A 22,633-nucleotide genomic window follows, 5' to 3' on the forward strand; every position below is an offset into this window, starting at 1 on the left:
CTCTGGAAAGCAAAATGCGTCTCAGCACAGGGAATGACAAGTGGCCCAAAGTCCAGAAAAAGTTTTTCTGACGTGTTTCAAAGAGTGGTAATAAGGACAGGAAAGAGAGACCAGGAAGAAAACACAGTGTAGAGGCACAAAGCCAGAAAAAAGAGCAGTTAAAAATCAGCTGCAACTAAAACATAAGGTTTACGTACACACAGGAACAATGGGGGGATGAGGCTAAAAAGGAATGTGGGGAACAGATAGTGAAAGGGGCTTATAAGGCACAATAGTGGGCTCTACCTTTCAGACAATTGAGAAGCCACTAAAGGGCAGAATCAGCACCATTAAATGAAGATAAATAGACTGGAAGAGCTCAGTAACCAGGAAACAATGCTACAAAATGTTTGGAAAGTAAAAGCATCTATCTTTCAAATACGAAAAAAAAACAAGCTGTATATGACAAGTTTGATATTTCCCACCATGAACTGCAAGTAAAGGTTTATGATTGTACTAAATGGAATGGTTAAGAGCAGAGGTGCCAGATTTAGACTGCTAGGGTCAAACCCCATTTGATTACTGTGTGACCCTGGTCTAATTACTTAAGCACTCTGTGCCTTAACTGCCTCTTCTGAAGAATAGGAAACAACAACCTACTGCATAAGGTCATGGTGAAGATTAAATAAATTTGCATGAAAAGCACTTTAAAAAGTGCCAGGCACATGATAGTTAATAAATGTAAGCTGCTATCATTATCCTACTATTAGTAATACTCTAACTTCTGTGACATAATCAATGTTAAGGAGATCACAACTAATGAAGTAATGGAAGAAGATTTAAAGAATCAGCCAAGTGTAATTTGAAACCCTTGCTGTTAAGAAGGTGAGGATAGAAATCAGAAACTCAACTATACACTAAAGTAGAGAAAGAAGCAATTGCTTGAAGTCTAGCTCTACTGGCAGTCATCACATGTGCAGGTAATGACAATGTATTTACTTTAGTGCCTAGACTTCAGGGACTCTAAATTTAGCCAATCAACATTCATAACAGAAAATCTAAGTCAGATAAACAAAGACTTCCTAAATTGAGAAACAAAGGTTGCAACTCAAGATGAGGGTCTGATAAGAGGTGATCTACACCACATAAGAATAGCCAGTTTTAACTTTTAAAAAAATATATTCTCATTTGGAACATTCTGATCACTCTGATTAATAGATGCAGCAGACAAAACTCAGTTTTAGAAGAATCTTAACATATAGATAAAGCCATGTTAACAATTTTTTAAATAAAGAAATATATAATGCAAAAATTAATTAGCAAAAGTGTAACTATTATGGCTACTGATTTGAAAACTTCCACAAATAGCAAGTAACCTATTTGAGGATGCTTGAGACTCCCCCCTCACTGGAGTCTTCCACTTACCTGTTGTGTGCTGAGACTGCAGAGTATGACGTCTCCAGAGGCTGTGGCCACACACACAGACTCCTGATCCAGCAAGTCCTGAACACCAACAATGCGGCCACTTCCATCCTCTGGGAGAAAGCCTTCTGCCACCAAAGAAACTTCATTTTTCACCTTTCACCAAAGTAAACACAAGCAAATTAACCCAGTCTACTTTCAAGAATAATTGATAACATTTCCAGAAATACTTTTTAATGCTTCTTTTATTACATAAAAGCTTTCAAAAATATTTTTTCTAGATGAAAATCCAAACTTTCATTTGAGAAATATCACTACTCTGTCATCTCTAACAAGAAAAATAGGTAATGTGACCTTTTTGCCAAACAAACACAAAAACAAAAACAATAAGCCTGGTCTCTTTAAAATTGTCCACTAAAATATGATGCTAATAGCTATGCTTTTCTAAGATTTCTATAGTATGGGGAAAAGGCACTAAAGGATGTAACTGCCTAAAATGTATTAGTAGAAGAACATAATCAAGGGACCATATCAAAACCAACCCACAGAGGTTTTTAAAGTACATATAGTTAGGAGCCAACACTAAAGATTCTGATTTAGTTGACATGAGATGTGGGCTCAAACTTTTAGAAAGCTCCATGGGCAACTTTCGTGTTCATTCCCAATTAAAAACCACTCTTGGCCGGGCGCTGAGGCAGGCGGATCACGAGGTCAGGAGATCAAGACCATCCTGGCTAACACGGTGAAACCGCACATCTACTAAAAATACAAAAAATTAGCCGGGCGCGGTGGCGGGCGCCTGTAGTCCCAGCTTCTCGGGAGGCTGAGGCAGGAGAATGGTGTGAACCCGGGGAGGCGGAGCTTGCAGTGAGCCACGATCACACCACTGCACTCCAGCCTGGGTGACAGAGCGAGACTCCGTCTCAAAAAAAAAAAAAAAAAAAACCACTCTTATAAACAGAATTTGCATGACAAAGAGGGTAAAAAGTACGGCACACACTCAAAAAGTAAGGTCAGAGTTCTACTGACTTAGGTTAAAATAGCAGCAGAGTTAAAGAAGGATTACGATTTAAGCTATGTCTAACATGGCATATATATGAAGCAAAAGATGTTTATTTGGGAGGATATAAATTCAATAAGATATAAAGAAAGACCATGTGGGGAAAGAAATTTGGAAGAAGAGAAATCAAGGGTCATACCCACATGCTGGCATTCTACATCAGTAACTTACTTCTCTTGAGACAGGGTCTACTTCTATCAGGCCATGTTCTGAACCAATGAGCACCGTCCCCTGTTCAGTTCGGAGAGAGAAGCACTGAGGATTCCCTGGACCTTGAATATCCCTGAACTCCAGGGTCCGAAATAATTTCAGATTTCGCATGATGAAGTGATTCCCACGAGACAAGTACAACTATCCCTTGATGAATCATTAATCTCTAAGAGAAAAATAAATAGCTTAATAGTGATAAATGACCATATTTATTTAAATGAAATGATTCAGGGGGTGAAGAAGTGGTAGTCAGAATCAGAATAACCAAGAAAAGAAAAAACTTACCTCTCTGAGTACACACCCATGTATGGATTATAGCAGCAACCTGACCCACTCTATACAGTTATGGTCTACAAATTAGGAATTCTGAAACCTATTTTATGTTCTTTTTAGGAGAGGCAAGATTCTCAACTTTAGAATGTTTTCTTCAAAAAAGATGTAATATCAGTTATTCCTTTGGGAAAGTTGAAAGAACAAATGAATGGGGAAACATTTTATTTTTGCATATTAGGACATCTTTATAAAATCATGAGGAAAAACAAAAGGGTATCCCACTGATTAGCACTATTTGAAAATCCATTTTTATATACTGGCAGTTGAAGAGAATCTGAAATGACTTTAATATTCACCAGGTCTATTCATTTATAAACTGGTTTTATACATTCATAAAAAAACTGAAATCAAAGATAGAAAAGCATTTACTGTTCTAAAGGGGAAGAGAAAATACTGGGACATGACAACAATTTACTTCAAAATGATGACCAACATTTCAAGGACCCTGATGACCTGACATAACTACTTCCAGTAACTTTGTTCTTCTGGCCAGGCTTTTCCCAGGACAATATAAAACGTGAGAAAAGAGTGCTAAACAAGACATCTACTTTGGTCTGGCAAAATCAGGCTTGCTTAAATGCATAACATTACCTAAGTAGGGGAAAAAAATGTTACTGTGCTAGTTATTTATATTCAGATCCCTTTAAGGCTTATGATTGTAAGTCCCTAACTTATGTTAGGGGTAGCAATTACAAGGACCACACCGGTCTTATTGTCACTTTAATCCAAGGAGACTTCTCTCATCTTGGCACCCCACATATGTATGACATAGAAAGAATAAAGATGAATCAATCCTAATAGTACACAGAAGATAATGTCAAGTGTCATAGGAATTATATAATATATAATGTGGGATAAGAGAAAGGTAAGTTTATATATGATGGAAGTGAGGAAGACAATGATTTTAGTAAGTTTTGGTGACAATTATATTCAAGAACTGCTAGAAATTACTTGAACCTCTAACATATCATGCAGGTTTTTTTGTTTTTTGAGACGGAGTTTCGCTCTTATTGCCCAGGCTGGGGTGCAATGGCGCGATCTCGGCTCACCGCAACATCTGCCTCCCGGGTTCAAGCGATTCTCCTGCCTCAGCCTCCGGAGTAGCTGGGATTACAGGCGCCCGGCACCATGCCCAGTTAATTTTTGTATTTTTAGTAGAGACAGGGTTTCACCATGTTGGCCAGGCTGTTCTTGAACTCCTAACCTCAAGTGATCCACCCGCCTCTGCCTCCCAAAGTGCTGGGATTACAGGCCTGAGCCACCGTGCCTGGCTGCGTTTTTCATCTTTAAACATCATAAAAACGCCTCAAAACTAGTTTCTCTGAAATTTCACACCCATCAGCCTTATTCCCTTATCTTCTCGGAGGAAGACTTCCCTCCACTTCTTTCCAGGCTAGGAAAGGAATATCCTCCATATTGCCACAGGACCTAGGCCTATTAGTACTCTTTCTTGGACATCTGCAACCTCCAACCTTCCTGCCTCCACTGATTCAAACTCTTCGCAGTTCTTAAATGTGCTAAAGATCCCTCCACACCAAAGGTCAATCGTGGATTCTCTCTTAATTTCCTGATAACTGCTTCATTTTCTTCCCTTGCTCCTTCGACTATCCACCTCTTGGCTAGACATCACATGCATGATTACATATACCAGGTAGATCACCAATACGCTGATTAGGCCTAAATGCCTAGCCCTGACTGAATTAGCCCAAACTTACCACTAAACCCACATTTTCAACCTCCTGATAGAATCACAAGCATGTCTCACATGCACATCAAATGCGACCTGGAAAGCAAAGAACTTGCTATTCTTCCCCCAAATGACAGTTCCCACTATTTGGGGACAGACCATTTCTACTCTATGTCCCCAAGCTGAAAAACTGTCTTTGCTGCCTTTTTGCTTACTCTTCATACGGATCTATTCATTGATTAGTTCCGTGGCTGTCAATATACAGTTGAATTCTTTACGATCCGGTTTGTGGCCTACATCCAACACCGACTGAGCACTTGCTAAGTACTGGGATCTGAAGATTACTCAGCCACTGTCTCCACGGAGATCATCGTTAACGGGAGAGAAAGCCACGTAAAACACCACGTTAGATGGAGAAGCACAGAGGACACCACCTCCACGAAAAAGTCTCACACGCGAGAAAGGACCCGCACCACAGCACCCGAGCCTCTATTAACCGCCGCCTTCCATCGTGAATTAATACTCTCGCTTTCAGCGTTATTATCAACCCCCTGCAAGCAATCAAGAGGCTGGGTTAAGTCCGGCTGGAGGGGCAGCAGGCATCCCTGGGCTGTCGCGCCTCCCAGCGCCCCCGATGGAGCAGGTGGCAAGGCTGCAAAAAGAATTTAAGGCTCTAGGAAAGAGGTGGTGCAGCCCGCACTCCAGTCCCCGGCCCGCAGCAGGCAGAGGAGGCTCCGGGTCTCCTTCACCCGGACACCGCCGGCGGAGAGGTCCACTCCCGTGCCCCTACCCTGGATGGATCGCTTACCTGAGGACCCCCAAACAGAGGTGCGTCCGGCCTCGCCTCCCCAGCCACGCGCAGCCGGCTACCCAGAGTCAGCTCCCACAGTCCGCACCCAGAGTCGGCTCCGAATTGCGCACGCGTCTCTGTCCGCGGCTCCCGCTCTCTCTCCGACGGCACTAGGCCTCCAAGGATGGAGGCGCCCTCCAGGGGAAAACGCTGAAGCGCTGCAAAGAAGCCAGCGACTCAATGGGTGCGTCAACTAGGCAGCCGCAGCACTGGGAGTGCGGCGCGGGAGTGACGTCACCAGGCGGAGGGGGCGAGGCCGGGCCCGCTTCTGGTCACTTACGGCGGCCGGCCTTCTTTGTAGGCCTGGCACCGTAGAGGTAGAGGAGCTACATTGGCCGCGTCCCCTGTCCCTCTGCCCTCTTGCCCATCTGCCCAAACTTTTGTATTTGATCTCTGTTTTGATGTCGAACCCCAAAGCACTGTAATTGGGGGGGGCGGGGGGGGGGGTGGAACCTGCGGACCTGAGAGCAGCGCGCGTGCGCACGACACGCGCTGTGCGCCGGAAGAGCACGCCCAGTCCGGGCTGCGCGGAGGAAGCGCTGGGGTCCCGGAGGGCGGGGGTGGCGGCGCCGGAGGTCGCCATGGCTACCGAGCCCGAAGCCGCGGAGCCGGTGGTGCCTTCGCTCGTGGATCGATACTTCACTCGCTGGTACAAACCGGGTAAGTGCGGAGTGATGTTGATCCCTCCTTGGCCGCACTGGCCTAATGCTGTGTAGACTATGTTGACAGATCATAAGCCACGCGCGCTCTCCCTGGCTCTCCGTCCCCACGTCAGAAGGCACTGGACTTCTGTGTTCCGTCTAGCCCCAGGGAATGGCATTTGCAAAGACCTGGTGGCCTGAAATACTTCAGGGCGCATTCTGGGGCCGGCGATTGCAGTGCGAGCTCTAGGGTGTTGCTCGCAGTAAGATGAGTACTCTAAACGGAGGCCCCAAAGGTAGGCGGAGGGCTAGGTTGCAACAGTCCTTAAGTGCCTGGAGGGATTGAGGGGCTCACTCTCACAGGGAGTAGCGATACATAAAATTATTTAAATGATCAGATCGAAACTAAGGTAGAGGCAGTAGGGATGGCGAGAAGAGGGTGGGTTAGATTAGAGACATTTAGAAAGAAGAAGAATCTATACATTTACCTTAAGAGACGCCATCTGCCACTTAGAAGTAGGTATTCTTTTTGTACTGTTTTGTGTAAGCAGAACCAGTGGTGGGAGCATCGTTGGGGACTCTCCTTTCTTCCTTTCATTCAGTGATAATGGTTATACTCAGTTTAAAAAATATATATTGTAGCATATTTTCTGTTGGCCAAACATAGGGTGACCAACCTGTCCTAGTTCACCCATGACTGAGGGGTTTCCCAGAATGTCGGACTTGCACCAACATCAGGACAGTCCTGGAAACCACCAACAAAAAATATATATCATAAAGAACGGGATGCTAATTGCATTTTCCTAGCAAAAATACTACGTGTACTCATTTTGAAGTGAGTGTAAAGTAAGATGGAGCAAGGAGTTAATTACCTTAATGTTGAATAAATTATTCTATCTGGGCCAGATCTCTTTAAATACTTTCTAGGAAACCTTTAGGTATGTCTTTTTGAGTAATGAAGGGATACCCGTGATCAGCATGCAGCATGTATGTGTCCAGTCTTCATTATCAACTATATGACCCAAAGAAAGTACCACATAGTGGTAGTAAATATTGATTTCAGCCACCAACAGACTCATGTATTCTTCTAGATGTCAAAGGAAAATTTTGTGAGGACCACTGTATACTACAGCACTCTAACCGGTAAGCAAATTGGGAATTTTAAATTATCAAAAATTTTTTTTTCCTGGTATTGTAGCCTGGTATGGTCTTGTGGTCTTGGATTGAACAAATGTTCACTAAACAAACATGCATTAATTATCTTCTACTGTGTTGAAATGGTATTATTATAGGAGTTTGTTTGGCAAGAATGAGTATTCCAGTGCCTGGCCACTCTGAACATATAAATTTGATTACTCAAACATCCAAATGGAGGACCACATCATCAGCTGCTACTTGAAGTGGCCAGTCTGTGCCCAACTACTGAACTGTTCAGAGCCCACAGAAAGGGCTACGGTAGAGACATGTATGGTATCTCGTATACACAGGCATGCCTTATTTCTTTGTCTTCTACCCCAGTGCTACCTACCTAAAGACCTCTGGTACTCTTCCCTTTCCTGGGAAAGAAATTCAATCTTGTTTTCTCTTTTATTATTGTATTCTCTATTCTACAGTTATGCCCCAATAGTAGCCAAAGGAAAAAGGGGGAAGATGATAGTTTGACTAAACAAATACCAGTTCATACATTCTTGTTCCAATAGGAGTTATGGGAGGAAAAATTATTCCAAGCAATCACACAGGATCAACTTTTTCTCCTTGTAGAATATGTGTCATCACATTGGCAGAATCTCATCCAGTTCTTCAAAGTGGAAAAACAATTAAAAGCATTTCCTATCAGATCAGTACCAACTGTAGCAGACTTCAGAACAAGGTCTCTGGGAAATTTAAGCGGGTATGTTCCTGTAATTCTGTGATTATCTACTTACATCCTCTATATTCATGGTAATGACAGATCCAATGAACCTTAGAATCCAGTAGCATATGCTTAGCATACTTCTCTAGCAGTTTGAGGTGCTAATTTTAGGTATACTTTCACCTAAAGAAATTCTCAGCTCCCCCAAATTAGGTATCTCAGGAGGTGTAGTATCTGTTATATTAGGTTCTGTGCTACTATCCCTATAATGCCCAGGATGGAGGAGGGGGAAGGCAGGCCTTTGAAAGGAGAACTCTAATAGCAATATAACAAGATATTTTGTCCCTTCTAGTTGTATTAAACTAGTATGTCGAGTTCTGTAAAATTTAGGTGACTAACTCTTCTTTACCATATATTTCCACATGTAAATTAAACAGAAAAAAAATTCCCAAGGGAGTTAGAAAAAAAAAAAGAAAAACATGGGCCGGTCACAATGGCTCACGCCTATAATCTCAGCATTTTGGGAGACCAAGGTGGGTGGATCATGAGGTCAGGAGTTTGAGACTAGCCTGGCCAACGGGGTGAAAACCCATCTCTATAAAAATACAAAAATTAGCCAGGCACAGTAGTGGGCACCTGTAATCCCAGCCACTCGGGAGGCTGAGGCAGGAGAATGGCTTGAACCTGGGAGGCGGAGGTTGCAGTGAGCTGAGATCGCACCACTGCACTCCAGCCTGAGCGGCAGAGCAAGACCAAGACTCCGTCTCAAAAAAACAAAAACAAAAACATGAATACGAGAAAATATATTTGCTCCTTACTGTTTTTCCATTCCTAAAGCATTGTCAATGTAATACTCATGTACCCACCCCCTGTACCTGCACACAACACTCGGTTATATAGAATGCTATCTCTACCCTCTGTAACTCTAGGCAAAATGGACAGATTATTAAAAGAGTATCATGCCAAGGAGAATTTAGTGACATGTTAAAATGTCTTAACAAACCCACTGGTTGGGAAAGTTTCTGTGGATGATTTAAGTCGTTCATTTACTGAGTTCATACTAAGAGTTTCTGCTAATTGCTCTCACTATTCTAGGAGACCCTTATTCAAACCCCCCTTTGTAGGCCTGAAGTCCCCTAATAATTACTGATTTATTGTGCTTTACAATTACTGATTTTTCCTCACTCAAGAAACTAGTGGACTTAGAAAAGCATGCACCTCTCTTAAACGATAGTCTACAAGTTACAATAACACTTAAGACTTCTGAAGTTTCAATGATAAATCTCTGTCCAAAATAGTAACACTTAAGGCAGGTACAGTTGCTCATGCCTGTAATCCCAGCACTTTGGGAAGCCGAGGCGGGAAGATCACTTGAGGCCAGGAATTTGTGACAAACCTAGGCAACATAACAAGACCTCATTTCTACCAAAAAAAAAAAATTTTTTTTTAATTAGCTGGGCATGGTGGCATGTGCCTATAGTCCCAGTTACCCAGGAGGCTGAGGTAAGAGGATTGCTTGAGCACAGGAGTCAAGGCTGCAGTGAGCCATGATGGCAGCACTGCACTCCAGCCTGGATGACAGAACAAGACCCTGTCTCAAAAAAAAAAAAAAAAAAAAGTAACACTCCTGTTACAAGTGAAGAACAGAGAGGGACCTGCATATTGAACCCACTACAGTAAGTTTTCACTGGATCTCAGAACTGCCAATCATTCTCCCAAAGGAGGTGACAAAAAGGCATCAAAACATTTCTGCTGTTTTGGCACAGACCTAGCTCTTTTGTGTCTGCTCTTTTAACACAAGCCTTCCCCTTCCTTCCAAAAGCAGAAAGTCACAATGACTCTAGTATTTTAAAATGAAGAACCCACGTGCGGAGGAGTGAAGCCAATATAGTAATATCTGAATGCCATCTAAAAATGTTTTGAGTGGTAAATAAAGGGGTCATAAAGAATAGCATCTTAACCTGAAATGCCTATGTCCACTACAGGAAAAATTCATGGGAGAAAAGAGGGCAACACATGAAACATGCCTGCACTGGCTCTCATGAGCCTCCCTGTAGATACTTGTGAGAGCCTCCCCAGGTATATCCATCTAGTGGAGTACATGAAACAATAACCATGCCATGACATTCAAATACATACACATCAAAATGTAGTATTGACTCATGGGTCAATTATTTTTATTTTGCTGCTTAAAACTTTTGTTTTCCACATTTTCCTCAAAGTGCATGTTTTTGTTTTTGTTTTTCTTAACTAGAAAAAATATCCCTTACTAACACACTGGGGAATTACAAAGGGGGGGGGGGGAAAGAACAATATCCCTTCTTCAAAAAGTCTTAGTGATTGACCCTGGTAAATAAGTTCCTTTATCTATTAAGTTCTAATATTAAAATGAGGTAGAAATCTTAATGAAACTAACTTTATACAATATTGCTGTCATACTGTGTCATGTTGAATTTTATATTGTTTCTTGTTGATGGATTTTCCCACACTTTTGAAATCTTTATACCTGGTTATATGTAGCTTTTTCATTTACAGTTGATAAAATATATTATCAGTCTGTAAATTCCCATTTATCATGTGTCTTAGCTTTTTTCCCTAGACCTAGGATGGCACCTGGCACACAGTAGGTACTTATATTCATATAGGTTCTGAAATTAATGAATGGTTTTTATATACTGAAGTAACTGATTTAAAACACCAGTTCCAGGAATACATCCTGTTATACACCTAAGGGCTACTTCTCAAAGGAAAGTGGAAATGTCCATCAACTGATTACTTCTTCCGTCTCATTACACAGGGGGCACAGTTTCTAACAGAGCTTGCACCTCTCTGTAAGATTTACTGCTCAGATGGTGAAGAATATACTGTGTCTAGGTGAGTAACTTTTTAGCCACCATTTAGGAGACCAAAGGGAGGTAATTTTTTTTCTTAGAAACAATTTTTTTTAACTAAGTAAACATGCTGAAATCTTAAATTTTTTTAATAGTTGTGTTAGAGGACGTTTGATGGAAGTGAATGAAAACATCCTCCATAAGCCATCTATTCTTCAAGAAAAGGTAAAAGAGAGAGAAAAAATATGATCTCATCCACATACCTTTTATTGGTTTTTTTTTCATCGTTTGACAGTACTAAATGTTCTTTCCTTTCCAGCCATCTACTGAAGGCTACATTGCAGTTGTGTTACCCAAATTTGAAGAAAGTAAAAGCATAACAGAAGGGTTACTGACACAAAAACAATATGAAGAAGTCATGGTGAAACGCATTAATGCCACAACAGCTACGTCATGAGGATTGACATGGAACAAAAAGCAAAGTGGGATTCTTGTTACCTGGCCTAAACCATCAGGGTACTAAAGGAGAAGAACCAGTATATGTAAAGCATACCTAACAGCCAGCCATATGCAGGGGAGGCCTAGTGCTTCACTTAGTTTTCCCTCTCTGTCTTCATAATGAGCCTTGGTTCCCATTTGTCTACAGCCTGCCAGATCTGGCCTGCCCATGTACTCACACTGTTCTCTTGCATCTCTCTAACAACTGGCATGCAAGGCATGTTTTTCTGATTAAAAACAAACAAAGCTCTTTGAAGAAGATTTAGAAAATACAGAAGAGTTTTAAGTAGCCAAGTAAAAATAATTTACCCATCATCCCATAATCCAGAAGTAAATACATTTGACCCTTGAGCAACATAGGTTTGAACTGCAAGGGTCCACTTATGCATGGACTATTTTCAACTATAAACGAGTCAAAAATATATCATTAACCAAACACGAAACCCACTTATAGAGCAGGTTCATATACTCAGGTTCCAAAGGGCCAACTGCAGGACTTGAGTTCTCACGTATGGATTTGGGTATATGTGGAAGTTCCTGGAACCAATCCCCTATGTAAACCAAGGGATAACTACTACATTTTAACCTACTTCTGTTTGAACATATGGTATGGTTATTGCTTTTGCCTCGTTTTCCTAACAGTTTGAAGTTTAAAAAAACCTAACCCACCTTTCTTACCCAGTCTTCTATAATGTGCCTACCAAAAAGCCTAGTCCTAGCCCATCTGCCTCAACTCCTCTCCCTTTTAGGTTGTAGGGAAGAGGCCGGAGTGTAGAGTATATTATATCTTCTGTCCCCCTTATGCCAACAAGATGGCCTTCCCCTCTGAAACAAAGTAAAACTGCAACACTGTGACTTCTTAAATGAGGGATATGTGAAAAGGCTATGAAAAATACAAAGGCTTTCCTAGGAAATGTGTTATAATGCAGCGGGAAGCTAATTCTTGAAATATGCACATTATAGTTACTCAGTCTCACATACTCTAGTTACTGGCAAAGAAGTTACTGAGAATATGTCATTCAAAGGCATAGGGGCCTTTGAATGGAACAAATGCTTTCACATCATTTAAAGTAAAAAAAAACCTCCAACAACTGTGAATTTATAGTTTAAGAGTGATTTACACTGAATTTCAAATAAAAGGACTATAAAACGTGTTATTTTTCTGTAAGGGCTATAACATACATGTCAATATCACTGTTTTTAAATAAAATATACTTTTATACAGAAGAAATCATTCGATGTATTAATTCCATTGGTTATCTATCCTCTTATGCTGTTGAAGTCATAAGTTACCCCTTCCCAACCCCCACTTGCTCTTTCTTTCACTAGAGAACAGTATTTTTTCAGGTATGCAAAAATATTATCTAATGAAAGTACAAGTGGGGGTTGGAATTTTTAAGTTTTAATTATTTACAAAATAATACTTACTTATTTTGTAAATAAAACAACATTTTGGTTCATAGGAAAAACTTGTAATCTGAGTGCCAGCATGACTATCCCCCTAAATATACCCCCCAGACATGATACATGTAGTAAGTGGATAAACACCTCCACGATGGTGCTATTAGCTGAAAATATAAACAAACCAGCAGATCCTCACTTTAAGTAGCACAATGACTCTTGAAGGCGTCATAAAACTATGACAGTAAACGTAGTAAAAGAATTGTGTATAACATTTTACATGTAACATTACCTCACATCATTCTCCCATTATTTCTATTGTAATTTAAAAGAGTACTTTGGTTTCAGAGAATAAAAATCATGCTTAATGATTTTGACTGTTTAAGGAAAGATTTTAAAAAGGTTATTAACAGAGCTGAGTGCATCACATTTTCTCCCGAAGGACTACAGTGAAAATTTTCCTCAATAAAATATTGACTAGCTGTGGTCAATTGGCATTACTGTGGTTCTTCCGGATCTTTTGTGAATACTGATTGTGGTGGCTGACCCAGATAAAGATCATCAGATAAGCTTATATTATCTACTGCCATTTGATAACTGACATACCCTGTTAGATTTCAAAATGAATGTCAAAGCATTAAGATACAAATACTACGACTGAAGTCTAACACAAAGTTGGCCATACTATATTATAAGGAGAAAACCTATAAACCAGATCCTTCAATCATGACCCCACCCACAAAAACAAGAAAAGCTTTAAACTCCTAAATTAAAAAGACTAAAGAAAGATGTTTTTTGTTTTGTTTTATAGTGAACATTTCAAATGTGTGATATTCAGAATTTAAATAGATTCTTGGCTTCCTTATTCTGTCTTTGTCTTCCATTCCATCAATCAATACTGAGAAAGTTCAAAATATCTTTTAAGTCTATAAGATAGGCTTAGAATCCCAGCTAATATTCAGGGCAGACTGGCCAGCTATGCTAGAACTAGAACCAAAAACCCATCTCATACTCTCCAGGAGTTGTTCCAGGATTCTGTGGAGTTCCATTACCTTACTTTTGGGAGTAGGTGAGGGACATACACAGCACAGCAGACCCACCCTTGCTGTACAAAATGCTTATTAGGGAACAAACTTGCTGCTGGCATGGACAATCTGGGACAGGGTCATCAAGGGGATTTTTGTCACACTTGGTAAACAGAGGGATTGAAGAGTCCACAGGTTTAAGGAAAACCCTGCATTCACCCAGACTACTGTATGTTTGCTGCTGACATTAGTGATCTAGATGATAAAGAAAACAGTTAAGGTAAAATATGCCAAAGCTAAGCACATATTCAAAATAGCTTCTTGTGGATTAAATTGTCCTTGAGACAGTTGGGATATTTGGTTTGACTTTTAAAGAACATTAGTGCAATGTTCTATTTTAAAAATCACACTACAATTAGAATCTAGCAATTACCAAGACATTTATTAGTTGTCAAAAAGCTTTACAATCAGTTTCATGATCAGAAAATAGAGCAAAATTTCAATATTGTTTTCTTTATAAAATTGATGAATTTCTGAAAAGATAAAGGATCATTTGATTTTTAAAAATGTCAGCTTCATCACATGATGTTCCAGAGATCTGACCCCAAAAGCTTCTCAAGTTTTACTATCCATAGTGTCCTTATTTGTAACTGAGACCCATCCGTTATTTTCCATCTGAAGCTGGAAAGAGTTAAGACAATTAGTATCTGGTTTCACTCTGAAAAAAAAATTACAAAATTAAGTAGTAACTATTTTCTTTTAAACCATTTTTTAAAGTATGAGTCTAAAATAGAAAAACTACCTCACCTTCTTCAGCAGTTTATAACAAAGTGAAAGAAGTTGGACTAAGAGAGCCATCATGGATCTTGTCTTCGTAATACACTTGTCAACCTACAATGACAAAAAGCATGCAAATGATATTCTAAAAGTAGTACTTAAAAGACCTTACCATTTATTTAGTTTTAACATGATAAAATTTCTCCATATGGAAATCTAAGGGATCTTGAAAGAGATATGGATTTAGGCACATGAGCTGACTCAAAGCCCCAGGACACAGGTGCAGGGGTAGCTGCCTAGATTTCATGTCTATCTCATGGAACCCCAGCAGAAAGAGTGGGTGGAAAATTAATCATTCTACTGCAGGCTGTTTAGGGGCTTCTCAAAACACTCCAAATAGTGGAATTAAATCCCATCCTTTGCAATTCCTTGCACTCTATTTTGTGGGCACAAACCCATATTCTCTCAGACAAATTATGGGAGACCAGACTCGGAGGCACCTGTGTCCTAGTTGCAGAGGTAATGACTTCAGAATTGAAGGGCAGCTGTTCAGTGCTATGGAATTAATGATGTCCAAAAAACTACTTTATTTGGTGAATCTGCTACTCTCTGGGGTCAGTTATGAGAGTAGATAATAAATGATTCTTGTAGACAAGGCATGAAAAAAGGAAATAAATTGCCCTTCTGTGGGTACTAACAGTTTATTTGAAGAAAAAGGGGCTTTAACCAGATAAAGATAGATGTGTGAAAGTTTTTCATATGTCTCTTTTACCTTTAGAAATACTTTATTCTGCAAAGAAGTCTTAGTTACTGTCTGGAGCTGGTGGCATAGAGGAATTAGCTTGTTTATTTCCAGGAGAAGCATAAGCTTGTCATCGTCTTTCAGCTGAAATGTAATTTAACAAGTTATAACAGCCCGCAACAAAACTCCATCTTTAATACCTTAAACACATTTATACATTGATATTATACCCCCAAAGTAGGTTATACATAATACCACCACCAGCTCCAGGTAGGTAGACATGTGTTACCTGTTTTGAAAAAGCTTGAACACTGGAAGTAAGCTTTAAACCCTCTGCAGCAAAAACCTGGTAGAAAGAGAAAACACCACTATTTTAGACTGATGTCTATGGATAGTTGGTAAGAAATATACTTACTAATAATTTTTACGTAGAATTTTAAAAATAAAGCCTAGATATAAAAAGTCTGTCAGGAACTCCTAAACTTTTTCCAGTACCAGGAATGCACAAGGGTTTAACTGTTTTCAGAAGGAGTTTCCACAGACCAGATGCAGAATCCATCCCTGGAGAGGCTTCTCTACACCAGACCTCCAATTATTCTGGAGGGTCACACAGACCTGTGATATTCAGCCACACAAATTATGTCTAGATTACGCAAGGGACCTAGAGCTCATCTCAAATATGCTCAATTATAAAAGGATGATGAATTTTCAAGCATGAGGTCAAAAGGGTTAGGACCTTCCCAATTCCATCTAGGCAAGACAAAATTTGTCACCCATACATATTCCATAACCAGACATTTGAGAGAACCAATCCAGGTGGTTGGTTTTTGTTGCCACTTTTTTTCAGATTAATTTTCACTATTCACCATGTACCATGAATTCTATAATTTAATGAGATGAACAGGATGATGGAGAAGTAGAGTGAAAAAGAAGGTTGTACAGGTAAGACAGAAGTATTTAGCATATTATGTTAAAATGGTTTGCAGACTATTTTAGAGTGAGATGCCAGGGGAGTAAAGGGAGGAAGGCTTAGTTTTAGGTGGCGTCAGTAATAATGGAGAGAACAGGGAAAATCTGAGAGTGGTTTGTGAATGAAAATAATAGGTCTTCATAATAAATTAAAGAATACTAAGAAGGAGGAGGCAATAATTCCAGGGTTAATTTTTACCCTCTATTCAAAAGGCTTAACACCTTGCTATCACTGGATAAAATGATCTCAAGGTCAAATCGTACTTTGCAACCTTCCCTTTAAAAGGGAAACCAGTAAGCTTTACATCTAGACTCCAACCAAATGAAATGATTCACTTCCCCAAGTGTTCCTTATCACTTCATGTTACCACTTTCTATTCTGCAAATTTTCTCTTTCCTTCTAGCCTGCAAACCCCTTGGGGACAAAATCCATGTCTGTCTCATACAGTATGATGGTTTTAAAACTACCTGAAAGCTGGTAACTCCCAGGTCTCTCTCTCCACTCCTGAACTATCCTGACATCAGTCTTGTACAGTCATCCCTCAGTATCCATGGGAGATTGGTTCCCAGACCTCCCCAAGGATACCAAAATCTGTAGATGCTTAAGTCCCTTAAATAAAACAGTGTAGTATTTGCATATAACCTACACACATCATCCCATAAACTTTAAATCATCTCATCTCTAAATTATAATATCTAAGTTAATGTAAATGCTAAGTAAATCGCAGTTATACTGTATTGTTTTCCCTCCCTTGGAACTCTAACCTTTTAAAATGTATTTTGTTTTTTTTTACTGTTGTTATATTTTATTGGTTTTCTTCCTTTTTTTTTTTTTTTTGAGACAGGGTCTCACTCTGTTGTCCAGAGTGAAGTGAAGTGGTGTGATCACAGCTCACTACAGCCTTGACCTCCCAGGCTCAAGCGATCCTCCTGCCTCAGCTGCCTGAGTAGCTAGGATTACAGGTGTGTGCCACCATGCCCCGCTAGTTTTTTTTTTTTTTGTTTTGTTTTTTTGTAGAGACAAGGTCTCACTATGTTGCCCCAGCTGGTCTCAAACTCCTGGACTCAAGTGATCCTCCCAGCTTGGTCTCCCAAAGTGCTAGGGTTACAGGAGTGAGCCATTGTGCCCAGACTGTTTTTACTGTTTTGAATATTTTCAATCCATAGTTGGTTGAATCTGCAGATGCAAAACCTGCAGATAGGGAGGGCCAAGTGTATATCCTATCTGACCTTTGTACTTAACATGTGCAAAACAAAATGCTCGATTTCCACCCTCTAAATCTAGTGTTCTCCCTCAGTGTTCCCTGTCTCAGAAAATGGCACTACCACTCACTCTGTTGGCCAAGCCAAAAACCTTACTTAAAACATAATAGGATCAGCTGGGCATAGTGGCTCAGGCCTGTAATCCCAGCACTTTGGGAGGCTGAGGCGGGCGAATCACAAGGTCAAGAGATCGAGACCATCCTGGCCAACATGGTGAAACCCTGTCTCTACTAAAAATACAAAAATTAGCTGGGCGTGGTAGCGCACACCTGTAGTCCCAGCTACTCGGGAGGCTGAGGCAGAAGAATCACTTGAACCCGGGAGGCGGAGGCTGTAGTGAGCCGAGATCGTGCCACTGCACTCCAGCCTGACAACAGAGCGAGACTAAGTCTCAAAAAAAAAAAAAAAAAAGTCCTTCCCATGGCCTACAGAGACATCATATTTTACCCCTTTCCTTCTGGCTCACTTCACTCCCATCAATAATTGCCTCCTTACTCTTCTGATACACCCAGCCCTACCCCTGCACCTCGGGGCTTTGCACTTGTTTTGGCTATCTAAAATCCTCTACCCACATTTATCCATCCAACTCTCACTTCATTACTGTCTCTATTCAAACACTGGCTCCTTAGAGAGGTCTTTTCTGACCACCCCTCTATCACCTCTGTATTCTAGTCGTACGTGATTTTATCTCCAAGTACTTACATATGTGCACTGAATGCTTAAATTCTTATTGTCTATATTCTGCCATTAGAACATAAGCTCTATGGGGGCAGGAGCTTTGCTTTGTTCACTTTTCTCCACAGAGCTCTGTTCTCCCAGATCTGACATATAGCACAAGTTCAATAAATATTTGTTGAATGAAGTATGCAATTTTATGTTCATCACAGTTTGGAGACAATTCATTGAACATTGATTTAATGACTAAGCTCACATAGGAAGAAGGTAAGTAGTGGATCTTTTGTAGTAAAACACCCCTACAGGGCGGTATGACAGAATGGACTTGGGCCAAACTGAAAAAAAAAATAAATTCAGAATTTCAACTATCTTAAGGGAAATAGCTCATTTATAGTCTGCTTTACAGAAAAATCCAGAAGACACATTTTCTATAATACTTCTGATTATGTTGACAATCATCCTCTTAAGCTGAAATCCCTTTCCCACAGAATGCCAAATAAAACTATATGAGTGATAAAGTGATAGAAATTTCTTTCTTTTTTTTTTTTTTTTGAGATGGAGTCTTGCTCTGTCACCCAGACTGGAGTGCAGTGGCGTGATCTCAGCTCACTGCAAGCTCCGCCTCCCGGGTTCACGCCACTCTCCTGCCTCAGCCTCCCAAGTAGCTGGGACTACAGGTGCCCGCCACCACACCCAGCGAATTTTGTGTATTTTTAGTGGAGACAGGGTTCCACCGTGTTAGCCAAGATGGTCTCGATCTCCTGACCTCGTGATCCACCCACCTTGGCCTCCCAAAGTGCTGGGATTACAGGCGTGAGCCACCGCGCCTGGCCTAAAGTGATAGAAATTTCAAATCTCAGATGTACATGGGAATGCCAAAGGAGACTATATGAGTGATAAAGTGACAGAAATTTCAAATTTACACACAAGAATGCTCTTGGTTCTAGAGAGGCAAACAGGCTAACATGGGGATCAGGGAAAACATAAAAGGAATTTTGCAACCCACTTGCCAATCTAAAGCCTCTAACTAGAGGGAGTAGAATTACAGATGGGCCTATGTGGAGTCCTGTTAAGACACATGGCACAAGAGTGGATGTTAGCATATCTGTCTCTCCTTTAATGCCCTAAATCATCATGAATACTGAAGGAAAGAAGGAAACTAAGATGTACTTAATACCCTCTAATAGTCTTAAGCATTTTAACAGATACTCTCTCATGTGTTATCTCATTTAATCAATATATTTTATCCAATTCAATAATGAAGAGGCCAAAAATCTTTCTAGAACTCTGGATTTGCATCTGCTTACAGGATATTTTCACCTACTTAGGTAAACCTAAAGCTTATTATTGCATCTATTGACTACCAACAAAGCCCATTCTACTTTATGCTCATAATATTTAAGTTTCTTTCCAATGAGGTCAGGATAGTTTTGCAAAATGTCATTGCAAGCCATCTACCTTTCTACTTTTCTACTGCTCTCTGTAATACACAGGTAGGTACAGATGTAAGCATATACACATGATATAATAAATCATCTGGAAAACATTTATTACCCACTTTTAGCCCGAAATTAAAGTACTAGCATAAAACGGAAACAAGGCATACCTCTAGTTGATGAATTAAATCCTGGGAAGTTTTCAGTGGCCCCTCTCCTCTAAAATAAAATTAATTGTTAAGAAGGTAACAAAAAGTTATTACCTGAAAATTGACTTTATAATATTAAAATTTTAGAGCATTTGTGTATTAACAAATCCTAAATTTTGAAGAATAATATGAATAGACTGATAATATTGTAACTTTATGCTTAAAGCAACTTTAATATTTGACAATTATTTATTAAGATATTTTTCCCCAAGTAAACCTTATGTTAATTTCATAATATAAAAAATTTTAAACAAGTAATATTTAAGTTCCATTTCTCTTTTTAACCTTTTTCATTTTACTTCATAAATTAAATATGTGAGATTTGATAATGTCTTGACCGAAAGCCTTTGTTACGTAATGGAAAGAGGATCAAACCAAAACTCAGGACATTTCACTTCTAATTCTTATTTCAATTCTGGTAGTAACTCAGTTATCTAACCTTGATGAGGCATATCACTGAACATTCTATTTTGAGTGAATAAAGCAATCATAATAATACTTGTGCTACCACTCTCATCAGAAGATTGAGGAACAGCAGATTAAAAACTACCAAGAAGAATTAAGAACTCTAAAAAATGAAAAGTAAATTACAATAAGAATAACCAAATGCATTAAGAAGAGCAATGGACTAGGGATAAGTCAGAAAATCTGGAATCTAGTAGCAACCAGTTCTGCCACTTAGGAGATGTGAACATATCATTCCTGTTCTCCAGTAAACCGTCATGAAAATCAAATGAAATGATGAAGCAAAAACCACATTAAAAACAATAAGGTACTAGTATGTTTGAAATATTGAAAAACTATAAGGCACTAGAAAACCTTAAATATCTAAATTATTAAGAAATATGAATGATTACATGTAAATCATTAAGAAATCATATAAATTATTAAGACAACCTTAAACAGTAACCTGAAGAAGGGCTATAAATCTGCCCAGGAAAACTGCTACAAGGTATTTATCTATTACAGAAAAATCCATTTTCTATTCTGGAATGTCATCACTACTATCCAATAACTATATTCTAGGAAGAAGTCCTATTCCACAGAGCTTCCCCTCGTAGTGCAACCCCTCATGTTTCCCAGTGTCCATGGGATACTCTACAATTCTGACACTGAAACAAAAAATACTGAGCATGCCATCCTGAAATATTCTGAAATAAAACTAATCAAAGGAGATGCTATAATCTTTTTTTAAAAAGTTGGCCAAGCGCGGTGGCTCATGTCTGTAATCCCAGCACTTTGGGAGGCCAAGGTGGGCAGATCACTTGAGGTCAGGAGTTTGAGACCATCCTGGCTAACACAGCGAAACGCTATCTCTACTAAAAATACAAAAATTAGGCCAGGTGTGGTGGCTAACGCCTGTAATCCCAGCACTTTGGGAGGCTGAGGCGGGCAGATCACTTGAAGTCAGGAATTTGAGACCAGCCTGGCCAAAATGGTGAAATCCCATCTCTACTAAAACTACAAAAATTAGCCGGGCGTGGTGGCACACAACTGTAATCCCAGCTACTTGGGAGGCTGAGGCAGGAGAATCACCTGAACCCGGGAGATGGAAATTGCAGTGAGCCGAGATTGCACCACTGCACTCCAGCCTGGGTGACAGAGCAAGACTCCGTCTCAAAAAAAATAAAAAATAAAGAAATACAAAAATTAGCCAGGCGTCATGATGTGTGCCTGTAATCCCAGCTACTCGGGAGGCTAAGGCATGAGAATTGCTTGAACTCAGGAGGCGGAGGTTGCAGTGAGCCGAGATCATGCCACTGCACTCCAGCCTGGGTGACAGAGCAAGGCTACATCTCAAAAAAAAAAAAAAAAAAACCAGGCAAGTCTATTGATGAACCCTTCATTTGGGAATATTTTACATATCAAACTATATTCATTAATAATATATTCCCCCAAGTCTTATTAGTCAAAAACATTTTTTAAAAGCATGATTTTCATCACCATGGAAATAACTAGCTTGATTCCAGCCAAAAGCTGAGATTTTTGTTATTTCAGTTAGTCTGTGCAAATTTATTGTGGGTAAACACAGGAGTTCCATTTTGCATTCTTTTAGAGGCCTGGGCCATCAGATTTTAAAAAGGTATGAACTTAAAAAGGTCAAAATTCATGTTGGGAAGACTCAATCACAGGATAAGCTTGCTAACAACAGTTAAGAACAATGGAAGGAAACCACCAAAGGAATGGTCTCCAATGATGGAAAATATGATAAGGTACTGACAAATGACAGCTAAACAGCAGCAAAATTTCTAACTCCTATCATTTCTGCCTTCTTTTTCCAGAGAATTATCTATCTAGAAAAGGTAGAAGACGTCATCAAGAGGAAAATGATGCCTCTAAGCTTGGGACTGCATCTTCCCCACTCTTAATCCTCCTTCTATAGGAAGGAATCTTCACGAGCACAGGATCCCTCACTTCTGTCTGCTGCCTCACCTATCCCATCCCATAAAAGGAGGTGGATGCTCATCTTTTCAGTCTTTCTGGTGACTTTGCAAAAATAAATTGAACACATTAACCCTTTCTTTTCTCCTTTTTCTCTTGGAAGTGAAGCTGCCTTTGAGATATAACTGGTCTTCCATGTGTTTTATAGAGATACATTGTGTCCCTATGAGGTAAGACTTTGTAATTCTAGGGATCATTTTTCAAAACTTAATTGCCTATGGACATAAAGTACTTTCTCCAATATCAGCTTTATCAATATAAATGTTACCAGCTCCCATCTACCTATTCTTTTGCTTATTTTTCATTTTGTTCAAAACTTGGGTGGGAATAG

At 39.8% G+C, this 22,633-nt stretch overlaps 3 protein-coding genes across 11 annotated transcripts in view, besides 2 other annotated features; 1 reads left to right on the forward strand and 2 right to left on the reverse strand.

Annotated features, from left to right (window-relative positions):
• Positions 1-5,760, reverse strand: part of ELP1 (elongator acetyltransferase complex subunit 1) — a 66,608-nt gene extending 60,848 nt beyond the window's left edge. For 3 of the 4 annotated variants that reach the window (NM_001330749.2, NM_003640.5, XM_047423991.1), the window contains exons 1-3: positions 5,500-5,760; positions 2,633-2,837; positions 1,405-1,557 (exon numbers count right to left, since the gene is read on the reverse strand). Coding sequence is in view for 2 of the 4 variants with exons in the window: in NM_003640.5 (NP_003631.2) it covers positions 1,405-1,557; positions 2,633-2,782 (303 nt within the window). In the remaining 2 variants the exon portion in view is untranslated. The remainder of the gene's footprint in view (positions 1-1,404; positions 1,558-2,632; positions 2,838-5,499) is intronic. The other variant, NM_001318360.2, reaches the window with a different exon arrangement.
• Positions 5,003-5,232: an enhancer, noted in NCBI's record as "active region_28757". NCBI's record gives its function as "activates an Ori minimal core promoter by ATAC-STARR-seq in GM12878 lymphoblastoid cells {active_cell/tissue: GM12878}" and the evidence as "EXISTENCE:reporter gene assay evidence [ECO:0000049][PMID:35858748]".
• Positions 5,983-6,262: a silencer, noted in NCBI's record as "silent region_20160". NCBI's record gives its function as "represses an Ori minimal core promoter by ATAC-STARR-seq in GM12878 lymphoblastoid cells {active_cell/tissue: GM12878}" and the evidence as "EXISTENCE:reporter gene assay evidence [ECO:0000049][PMID:35858748]".
• ABITRAM (actin binding transcription modulator) lies at positions 6,036-22,380 on the forward strand. 2 transcript variants are annotated; one of them, NM_017832.4, is made up of 6 exons: positions 6,036-6,201; positions 7,274-7,325; positions 7,944-8,073; positions 10,832-10,908; positions 11,021-11,090; positions 11,185-12,590. In NM_017832.4, the coding sequence occupies exons 1-6, from the start codon at positions 6,123-6,125 to the stop codon at positions 11,320-11,322; spliced, it is 546 nt and encodes a 181-aa protein (NP_060302.1). In that variant the 5' UTR covers positions 6,036-6,122; the 3' UTR covers positions 11,323-12,590. The 2 variants fall into 2 exon arrangements, with proteins under 2 accessions (NP_060302.1, NP_001397919.1); NM_001410990.1 differs by lacking the exons at positions 10,832-10,908; positions 11,021-11,090; positions 11,185-12,590 and adding an exon at positions 22,143-22,380.
• The window catches only part of CTNNAL1 (catenin alpha like 1), a 70,923-nt gene continuing 62,502 nt past the window's right edge, over positions 14,213-22,633 (reverse strand). For 2 of the 5 annotated variants that reach the window (XM_017015250.3, NM_003798.4), the window contains 5 exons: positions 19,822-19,870; positions 15,598-15,654; positions 15,339-15,452; positions 14,597-14,680; positions 14,213-14,470 (listed from right to left, as the gene is read on the reverse strand). In XM_017015250.3, the coding sequence (XP_016870739.1) occupies positions 14,405-14,470; positions 14,597-14,680; positions 15,339-15,452; positions 15,598-15,654; positions 19,822-19,870 (370 nt within the window). In that variant the 3' untranslated portion in view covers positions 14,213-14,404. Of the gene's footprint in view, positions 14,508-14,596; positions 14,681-15,338; positions 15,453-15,597; positions 15,655-19,821; positions 19,871-22,633 lie in introns of those variants that run through there. The other 3 variants (XM_005252291.5, NM_001286974.2, XR_007061368.1) reach the window with 3 other exon arrangements.

The sequence above is a fragment of the Homo sapiens genome, chromosome 9, assembly GCF_000001405.40.
Source record: "Homo sapiens chromosome 9, GRCh38.p14 Primary Assembly".
NCBI classification, from domain to species: Eukaryota; Metazoa; Chordata; class Mammalia; order Primates; family Hominidae; genus Homo; species Homo sapiens.

Bases quoted from the DNA above. Each gene is read 5' to 3' on its own strand.
- ABITRAM (NM_017832.4), top strand. From the start codon at position 6,123: ATGGCTACCGAGCCCGAAGCCGCGGAGCCGGTGGTGCCTTCGCTCGTG. The intron at 6,202-7,273 runs GTAAGTGCGGAG...GTATTCTTCTAG, and splicing joins CACTCGCTGGTACAAACCGG to ATGTCAAAGGAAAATTTTGT. The intron at 7,326-7,943 runs GTAAGCAAATTG...TTCTCCTTGTAG, and splicing joins ATACTACAGCACTCTAACCG to AATATGTGTCATCACATTGG.